The sequence below is a fragment of the Homo sapiens genome, chromosome 4 (genome assembly GCF_000001405.40).
Source record: "Homo sapiens chromosome 4, GRCh38.p14 Primary Assembly".
In the NCBI taxonomy this organism is placed as follows: Eukaryota; Metazoa; Chordata; class Mammalia; order Primates; family Hominidae; genus Homo; species Homo sapiens.
The window spans coordinates 79,315,967-79,326,295 of record NC_000004.12 but is presented as its reverse complement, the minus strand read 5'-3'; the positions used below and the strand labels follow the sequence as shown (position 1 = coordinate 79,326,295).

The window sequence follows — 10,329 nt, the reverse complement described above, 5'->3', positions numbered from 1 at the left end:
TTCTCTAAGTTCCTGTTATATGGGTTTCTCCAGTTTGTGAAAATTTATTCAGATGTACCCAAATCAAAAAGTTAAAACTGAAACAAAAATAATAATTGCAATGGATCGCGTTATTTAAAACAAAGGCGACCACAATGAACTCCTCTCTCCCCACCCCCTAACCCCTGCGCACGCACACGCACAATGAAGCGAAACCTCATTGGCTGGGATCAGTGACGCACTTCTGAAAGCCGCAGTTTGGCACCATCTTTTCCATCTCCTGCTCCTTCCGCCTTCCCGCCATCCGCCCTCCACACGATTCAGCCCGGTGGTGTTAGCCCCCTGGACTCGATTCCTGAGGCAAACAGTGCCCCTTAAGGTCGGCGACAGCCTCTTCTGGGTTCACTGCAGTCCAACCGGTTCCCTACCCTCTGCCATTATGAACATCCGCAACGCTCAGCCAGACGACCTGATGAATATGCAACACTGCAACCTCCTTTGCCTTCCTGAGAACTACCAGATGAAATACTATTTATATCATGGCCTTTCCTGGCCCCAGCTTTCTTACATCGCTGAGGATGAGGACGGGAAGATTGTGGGCTATGTTCTGGCCAAAATGGAGGAGGAACCAGATGATGTCCCGCATGGCCATATCACCTCACTGGCCGTGAAGCGTTCACACCGGCGCCTCGGCCTGGCCCAGAAGCTGATGGACCAGGCCTCCAGGGCCATGATAGAGAACTTTAACGCCAAATACGTGTCTCTGCACGTCAGGAAGAGTAACCGGCCAGCCTTGCACCTTTATTCTAACACCCTCAACTTTCAGATTAGTGAGGTGGAACCTAAATACTATGCAGATGGGGAAGATGCTTATGCTATGAAGCGGGATCTCTCGCAGATGGCAGATGAGCTGAGACGACAAATGGACCTGAAGAAGGGCGGGTATGTGGTCCTGGGCTCCAGGGAGAACCAGGAGACCCAGGGCAGCACACTTTCTGATTCTGAAGAGGCCTGTCAGCAAAAGAACCCGGCTACCGAAGAAAGTGGCAGTGACAGCAAAGAACCTAAGGAGTCTGTGGAGAGCACCAACGTCCAGGACAGCTCAGAAAGCTCGGATTCCACCTCCTAGAGCATGCTTAAGGTATTCTGTCTTCCCTGACCCAGTACCCCCTTCTCCTAAATCCCTGCATCCTGCCTTGGCCTGCCCAATTCCATCCTGTCTTACCCCATTCTGGCCCTGCGAGATTTTACGGTAAAAACCACCTGGTGACCTTAGGGAGAAGTTAGAGTGAGTTGAGGGAGACTCATTACACGCTATTGGAAGTTAAATAGGATACCAGCTCATGCTGAAAGTAGATTAATTTCAATGAAGAAACAAGCATTTATCCTGCTTTTTGGGCATGAGTTGTATTTCAGGGTAACCACGTAGTTGATGAAAGGCATTTTTTTCTTTATGGAATTCCAGTTAGTAATAATGATAGAAATATAAAATCATCATTTTCCAACTCTTGATGAAATAATGGACCCAGCCAAGAGTCATCAATGGCTAATAGCATTAGGTAAAAGTTGGAGCACTTTGTAATGATGGATCAGACTGACAACACTTGAAGTCAGTGTAGTCAGTCTTCACTAAACGTGGAGACAAATATGTGTCTCCTTATGCAACAGGAAGTGCACAGTACTACCTATGAAATATTCTTTCCAAAAGAAAATTATGAGATCTGACTACCATTTTACAGAAAATAGAGGGACTTGTTAAACTATACCATGATGCAAACAGCCAAATCCAGAATGAGAGGTTTTTACAAAACAAATGACCTGGTTTCTTCAACAAATAAATGGCACACACACAAAAAAAGATGAAGCATTTTCTGTTAAACTTTACAGATACATTAAACTCAACTGCTATGGACATTGTTTGGATACTGATTCAAACAAACCATGTATAAGACATTTTTGAGATAATCAGGCAAAATTTGAACGGGGACTATATTAAGGAATTACTAATAATTTTATTAGAGGAGCTAAATGGTATTGTATTATGTTTAGAAAGTCCTTATCTGTTAAAGATACATACAGAAATAATTATAGCTGAAATAATAGGATGCCTAGGATTTCCTTTAAAATAATCCAGCAAAAAAAGAAGAAAAAGATTGAAAGAGGGAAAATGAAATAAGAATGGCAATGATAATTGTTGGGTTGGGAAATGGGTACTTAGGGGGTTCCTTATGCCATTTACTCTTTCGAATGTGTGAAAATTAGCATGAAAAGTTAAAGAGCCAAAACAATTACTGTACTTTTTTTTTTTTTTTTTGAGACAGAGTCTCGTTCTGTCGCCCAGGCTGGAGTGCAGTGGCGCGATCTCGGCTCACTGCAACCTCCACGTCCTGGGTTCAAGCTATTCTCCTGCCTCAGCCTCCCAAGTAACTGGGACTACAGGCGCCCGCCACCTCGCCTGGCTAATTTTTGTATTTTTGTATCTTTTTTTCTTTTTTTGAGATGGAGTCTAGCTCTGTCGCCGAGGCTGGAGTGCCGTGGCACTGTCTTGGCTCACTGCAAGCTCCGCCTCCCGGGTTCACGCCATTCCGCTGCCTCAGCCTCCCGAGTAGCTGGGACTACAGGCGCCTGCCACCACGCCTGGCTAATTTTTTTGTATTTTTAGTAGAGACGGGGTTTCACTGTGTTAGCCAGGATGGTCTTGATCTCCTGACCTCGTGATGCGTCCGCCTCGGCCTCCCAAAGTGCTGGGGTTACAGGCATGAGCCACCGTGCCCGGCCTAATTTTTGTATTTTTAGTAGAGACAGAGTTTCAGCATATTGGCCAGGCTGGTCTCGAACTCCTGACCTTGTGATCTGCCTGCCTCAGCCCCCCAAAGTGCTGCGATTACAGGCGTGAGCCACCGCGCCCAGCTCTTGTACTTCTTAATACACACTTATGCTAATACTAAGAAACCACTGAAACTAAGTTTTAAAGGATTGGTATGTTAGAAACAACTTAATTGTAATAATATACCACAGTATTTCTTCCATCAAAGGACTTTGTATCGCCTTAGGAATTTCAAGGGTCGGTGAGCTACTGGCAGTTTACAGGCTTTAACATCTTAATCTAGTCACCTTACCCTTACATGTATGAAAGGCAGCAACTTCTCATGGCAAAGTCTAGTCATAAATAGTGTATTCTGTATATAATTTCAGTAAGTGCTATTTGATTAGTCTACTCATTCATAAAAATATTTGTCAGGCATTAGGCTTGGAGCTGAGTATACAGCAGTGATCAAGACAGACTGATGTTTATATTATATAGCATTTAAGAATAAATGGACTTTTTTTTTGCATTTTAATGCCAAAACCGAAGCTATAACACACTAATCCCATTTTATTTTCATTCAGTTACAGTTCAGTATGTTATAAAAATTTAGATACAGTAAGTCTTTGGTGGTTAGAAAGAATCTGTCCTCAGAGGAGATTTTGCATCTGACTTTTAATAACCTGAAAGTTTCACAGTGACTGATTCATTTTTTCTAAAAAATAAAGCCGGCAGAACAGTCTAAAAGCAAAGATGAAATTAAAACTTGATGCCTTGAGAAAGCGTTGTCAAATTTACACCTGTCTTGAAAACCCTGGAGGGCTCTCTCAAGACTCTTTGAATGCACAAACCTTTTAAAAAAAATTTCAACTTTCAAATTCCTTCGTAGAAGGACTTACACAGTATTGATCTCATCTTTGTAGTTATTTGCTTCTCTTCATTGTTAAACTCTAGCTGAGAACAGAGCTAATCAGAGGTTGTTTTAAAACCATATATATATATATACACACACACACACACACACCTATAAAACTGATGAATTCAAAAGCACTTAATATCTGCTATGAGAAACAAAATAACTGCCACTGTAGTAAAAGAAGAGAGAAATAATAAATAAGAAAATTCATTGTTGTGTCACAGTTATAAATTTCAGCATACAAATTCAAGAATAATTGAACTGTTTCTTTATGATACCGTAATTGAACTTTATTTCTAAGTTGAAGGAAATGTTTCCTAGACTGAGCTTCACCGTCTTTCTGAGTTGTTATCTGCTGAGACATATTCAATGGCCCCATCCAATCTTTGATCCTCAGGATTCACTTCTGGGTCTTTTCCAACCGGAGGTCTCTTACCATTTTGGTAGCAAGGGTATATGAGTATTAGTCTGCACAGGCTAACTGCTCTAAAAATTAACTTCCAAATCTCAGTAACTTAACCCAATAAAATCTTATTTCTCACATCATAGTACAATGTGGGTCATCAGTGTGGTGGTGATGTGGAGTAGAGGGGAAAAGATGGACCCTACTCCATGGTATCATTCAGGGATCATTTAGACAGGGATTCTTAATTTTCTGTAGCTCCCTTTGGCAATCTGGTGAAGCAGAAAAATTTTTAAAAGATGTAAAAATTATACCAGATTACAAAGGAAAACAATTTCATTGATATAGTTATCAAACTATTTTAAAAATACTTTTGTTGTAATATATGTGCTTTGTGTTAGCATATTGAATAGCCTAATAATTACTATTATTTCAAAGTAAATTTTAGTATAAATGATATTTAAGATACCTTAAGTATCTATAATGTGATATGAAAATACCTATGAGTTTTATTGGTGACAAAGTCTCAAGTATTGCTAATACTACTGTGCATTGATTCCTATGTTCATAATTTAAAGAATTGCCAGATTTCAGTTAGAGGTTGATGAAAATACAGAATTGTTTTTGTTCCAAATCCAAGGTCATGGTTCTCCTACATCTTATTAAATAGATCCCAGGTTAAGAACTCCTAATTCAATGACTCTTGTCATTTTCTAGGATCATAAGACCTTCAACTGGTTCATATACATTCAACTAGCAGATGAGAGAAAAGAATGTATATAGTGGTTAATAAAGGTTTTAAAAGTCAAGTCTTACCCAACTAACTGCAGGGGAGGCTATGATATTTAGTTTAGCTTTGTGCTCAGGAAAGAAAGGAAGGAGTTCAGCAACAACACAGCATAGTTTCTGCCACAATAGGAAACATCCTAGTGGTGCTCTGGACTTTGAGAAGTTTTGCTTCCATGCCCAGTTAGAAGCAATGGGATCATACAGCTGCTCTCACTCCATGGCATGGCCCAGGGAACTCTGTTAGGCTGTCTGAGGTTGTCTACATAAACACCTGACATATATTTATTCTGCTGCTTCACAAACTTGGGCGTGGAAAACTATGGGATTCTGTTATCTTGCTGCCATTATGCCACTAATTAAACCTGGGACAAATGACCCCTCTCCTCTGAAGTCCCCAAAACTGTCTAAATCTTCACTTGCATCCCATTTAATAGGGATTCACCAGCACATAGGTCTAGCTCCCTGAATGGAGAAAGGCTACAGTGAAGAAAGAAAGAACAGGAAAAACATTTAAAAGGCTCATACTGCAAAAGTACTATCCTTCTACAATTGTGGTGCTCCCTCCTGTGGAGCTGGAGTTCAAATACCTATAGAAAAAATGTCCTAAAAAAAATATTTTTCATTTTCCCTATCTGTACTTTTGGATTTGGGAACAGAGACAGAGTTAGAAGTGATGCTGAGCAGGACAGTTGGTGAAGAACTGGTTGATTTCATCTAAAAAATGGTAATAAAAATTGCTCTTCACACTATGAAAACGCACTGTTTTGCAGGTATTAATTCTAAGCACTGTTAATGATGTGTTTCATTTATTCCTCATAATAAGCCTGTGAGGTAGGTACTATTACTCCATTTTGTGGTTGAGGAAATCATGTCACAGGGAGGGCTGCATGTTATACAGATAGTGGAAAACAAGGATGCAAACTCAGGTGGTCAGACTCCATGATTGAGAAGATTAAATGAGTCAATCTATGTAAATTGCTAAGCACAACTCCTCACACACAGTAAAATAATCAATAAATTTTAGCTCTTAATATAATCGATAGTAAGAGTAACTTTTCAGGTTCTCTTCTTCTCCACGGTAATCAAATGATAGAATGTTGTGTATGAGCAGCAACAGTTTGCAATCTTGGATGGGAAATGCATCTTAATGATTAAAATAGCTTTCACTGACAAGCTAAATGTCAAAGCATTCAGCTGAATCAACGCTTGTCAACGGCAGAGTTTCTTGGGAGCCATAGCAATGAAGACAGGTCAGTTCAAAACATGCTGGTTGAGGCAGGAATGTCATCAAACTGCTGCTTATCTCTTGACAAGAAATATGTGCTTGATTATTAATAACAAAAATGAAAAAAATGCAAAATCTTAGTGTTTTCAATTGAGCTGGCAACATTGAGTTAAGTAAGGTTACTTCAGTGACTCTCCCTTTCTGGTTTATTCTTTGTGTCGCTAAACTGTCATTCTAACAAAAAGTTGTTAAATGTTCACATGAGCAGTCACTGAAATAGACTGTTCTTAATTTTACCAGACAACTAATTATAACTGGAATGATATAATGAAATATGGAAGAAACCTACAGACTGACAGGTCTGGTAAATTCGTAGTATAACCTTACCCCAGATATGCCAGAAACCATAGATTTCAAATGCAACTGCACTCTATGAAGATAAAGAGGGGGTTGGGAAGAGATAAAATATTGTTTTGAAATACTAATCAGATAGATGCCATTTGTTGAATTATTTATAATCTCTAACAATGTCACCTTTCAATCAGTGTATGATGTACATGTAGGATGACTGAAATACCAACTTTGTCAGAAGTAACTGATAAAAGCAGAGGTTTTTCCTAAATTTTGTACTCTATGCTCTAGTATATGAAATCCAATGGGCTTTATGGTACAGGAGGTTAGATAGAATATTTAAAATTCTTTGAATGGGCAATGATTCAAAGAGCCACCATAAAAGCCTTTCTGAAAATATTCTACAATGCCATTTCTATAGATAAATATCTTTGGAAAATTATAGGATTTTTTTTTAAAGTAAAGCCATAGTATTCTGTTTCATGTTTATAACACCATATCGACAAATAGCATGTATTTGTCAGGCTTCCATAGCCCACCTTTAAGAAAACCTGATAATGTAAAACTTTGAACTTAATAAGCAAGACATTAAGGGCTTGGGGTGGGCACAGCGGCTCATGCCTGTAATCCCAGCACTTTAGGAGGCCAAGGCGGGAGCTTTGCATGAGGCCAGGAGTTCAAGACCAGCCTTGAAAACATAGCAAGACCTAGTCTCTACAAAAACTAAAAAACATTAGCCAGCGTGGTGGTGTATACTGGTGCGTGCTTGTAGTCCTAGCTACTCAGGAGGCTGAGGCTGGAGGATCACTTGTGCCCAGGAGTTTGAGGCTCTTGTGAGCCATGATTGTACCACTGTGCTCCAGTCTGGGTGACAGAGCAAGACCCTGTCTCAAAAAAAGGACTATAATACTAACATTTTAAAGGGAATCTTTATGAAAAATACCTATACTCTTAAACAACAAACTATCCTATAGCCTTTATTACAGTGTTATTTGACTTTTTCAGTTTAATTTCTTAAAATTTTCAAGCAGTATTTACTGAGATAACTAAAACAGCTATATAACTTCTTTTGCATGCCTGTTCATGCAAAAATGAAAAAGGCAATGATGATAGTCTTTCTGACCTGTTCCTCCATATCTTGTGTCTCTTTTGTTATAGCAAATATACTTTAAAAAATAAGATTTTACATAGTATTACCTCTTACAACTGGCTTCACTTGTTATTCTGGCAACAGAATTTTCTATAACAATGATTTTGTACAAAAATGCTTTTTAACTGCTCTGTGCATAATAGTCAGCCTCAATCTTATTTACTTCTGTGTGCATATGATAGATGAAAAGGTACTGAGTAAATATTTATTGAATGAATGAATGAATGGACCTCTCAAATTACCCATATAATAAATTTTTTTAAAGGAGAGAAAAATAATGTATGTATGATTCCTCTTACCTGATATAATTACCTACTTCCTCTTACCTGATGTAATTAGGGCACTTTAATTTGTGAATAAAGAAACATTATGGTTATTTTGGTTTCCTGTCCAGGCCTCAGAAAGAAAATATGACTTATAGAGTTGGACACATTGCATCTAACTTATCAAGAGCTAAAAAGGCCTTTCATTTCTTTAGAATTGGAATAAATTTTCTTTTGAGTGGAGTAGGATGAGATAGAATTTAAAGATGACAAGCAAAATGATCTCAGTTTCTTTAGTTTTAAAATAGGTTCTTTGGGGGTAAATCCCAGTTTTTTGGTGTTCTTCCTGTCCCTTTCTCCTGGCAGAAATGTCCTTTAGATGTCAGGAAAGGTTCATGTGTTCTTATGGCAGGGAGGGGAGAGAGCCCCAGATCTGTGTGTGGTCTTTGTGCAGTCATCTGAATTCTCACTGACTGCCATGGAGATATATCTAGTCCAAACTAGTTACTGGGTTTCTTTATCTGCTGTTCCAGTCTATCATTAACTAAACCAGTATTCTTTCAGAGCTGTCAGAGCTTATAGCTCTCCCTTTCTCATTTGTTTTCTTCTCATTTTTCAACAGCATTTCAGGTCCTCATGTCTCAACCACATCTACTCTGTGAACCCTGGCTTAGTCTGTCTGCTCTGCAGCATCTGCTGTGGGGATCATCTCACAGTGACCAGAATGGCTTCTCACTCTTAACTCTATAAACAACCACCTTTCACATATCCTGCTGGGATCATGAAGGAATACCTGGACACAAGAGCCACTGCACAACAGCCAAGGAACTTTGAGACCTGCCATTACAGAACCTTTCTTGGCCTACTCACACTACGCTGCCATTTTATTCTGTTTGTAGTAGTCCTCTGTTGGGTGTGGTTATCCTGCAAGTTTTTCTCCTTTTAGAATGATGAACAGGAAGCAGGGCAAACTCTTGAAGATTTCCAGCTTTCAGTTTTTGTTTTTGTTTTTTAACCATTATTTACCTGAGTTTTCATCCTTGAGGAGGTGAAGTAGTCAGGACCATGAAGTCAGACCTCATGCCCTCTTCCTCCTCTTTCCTGGAAGAAGTATTCAGTTTCCTTTTCCTTTCTCTGGTAACTCCTCCTTTATACTATTCCCCCCTCCCTTTTTTTTGAGGAGGAGGGCATCACCTTCCCAGTGGGAAAAGGTGTTAAGTTAGGAGCTTCTACTGTACAATCAGAACTTGGAGATTTTAAGAAAAGGACAAACGGTAATTAAATTGGAATCTCTAATGTGCTTGTTTGTGTTAGTTTTTTTGTGATTATGTCACTTGGCATTTATTGAGTACCTGCAGTGTTCACACACAATGCTGGAGCCTTCATTAGTTACATATTTAACCCTCTCAGCAACCCTGTAAAGTAGGTAGTATTATCCCTGTTTTACAGATGAGGAAACTGAAGCTCAGAGAAGTGAATTAAATATCCTGGATCTGAACCCAATTCTGTTTGAATTCAAAGCCAAAGTTCCTTCTACTTTTCTGTTCCTACTCTTTGCATTTTATTTATAAATGTGTTAAAATTTTAGCAAAAATGGAGAATCTGCTGTTTAAAAATGTGTTTGCTTAATACATGGCTACTGTATGTCAATTGTAAATATTTATATAACCTACAATTATAATCTATTTTTATTATTTTTCTCTAGTAAAAATAAGTGAAGACAAAGTACCTTGACCTCTGCAGTAAAAGTTACCAGATAAATCCAGAGTTATCATTACTTAATGTTGTTTTTATGTTCACTGAATGTGAATTACCAAAGTATATAACATTTTTCATGTTTAAACTTTTATGAAAACTGGTGTGTATGGATTTAAGTCAAAGCCTGGACTTTATCTGGTGACAAGAGGTAAGTCTTTTCTGTGTAATCGTAATTAGCCCTGCTAAGCAGTTCTTACAGATCTACCCTAGTGCACTCTAAGAATGTCTGCCTAATGGTAAATGATTGCCTGAGGCAGATATAAAAGTTTTTCCCTACATGAAAGGATTTGCCATTTCTTGTGCCAATACAGTATGATAAAATCTATCTTTCCATCTTTTCCTTTTTTCTTTTTAATATTCTATCTCAACGCTAAATTATTTTATTCTTTCCTCTCAACCATGTGTTTATCTCTTTATTTTTAAATATTACAGCTTTCTAACATCTGTCTCTAGGGCAGCATAATCTTACTGATGAAGTATTCCATGTTTTCCTTGAGCTTTTGTCAATATGTCTTTGTGTTAACAGCTTAGCAGATGGAGAAACAGAAGGAGTAGCCTCAGCTTACCTGAATGATTTTTTTCCAGCACCAGGCACATTGACTTGCTGTCTCTAGTAACTTGATAGGAGTTGGAGCAATTGGAAAATGGGAAATGATATATGACTTCTGCAGTGTTATTTACTAAAACAA

General features: G+C 38.5%; 1 protein-coding gene across 6 annotated transcripts in view; it reads left to right on the top strand.

Annotated features, from left to right (window-relative positions):
* The first annotated feature begins 234 nt into the window (after positions 1 to 234).
* NAA11 (N-alpha-acetyltransferase 11, NatA catalytic subunit) overlaps positions 235 to 10,329 on the top strand; it is a 170,686-nt gene continuing 160,591 nt past the window's right edge. For 5 of the 6 annotated variants that reach the window (XR_001741340.2, XR_001741339.2, XM_017008779.2 and 2 more), the window contains exon 1: positions 235 to 1,120. Coding sequence is in view for 4 of the 6 variants with exons in the window: in XM_017008779.2 (XP_016864268.1) it covers positions 419 to 1,108 (690 nt within the window). In the remaining 2 variants the exon portion in view is untranslated. Of the gene's footprint in view, positions 1,121 to 8,504; positions 9,650 to 10,329 lie in introns of those variants that run through there. The other variant, NM_032693.3, reaches the window with a different exon arrangement.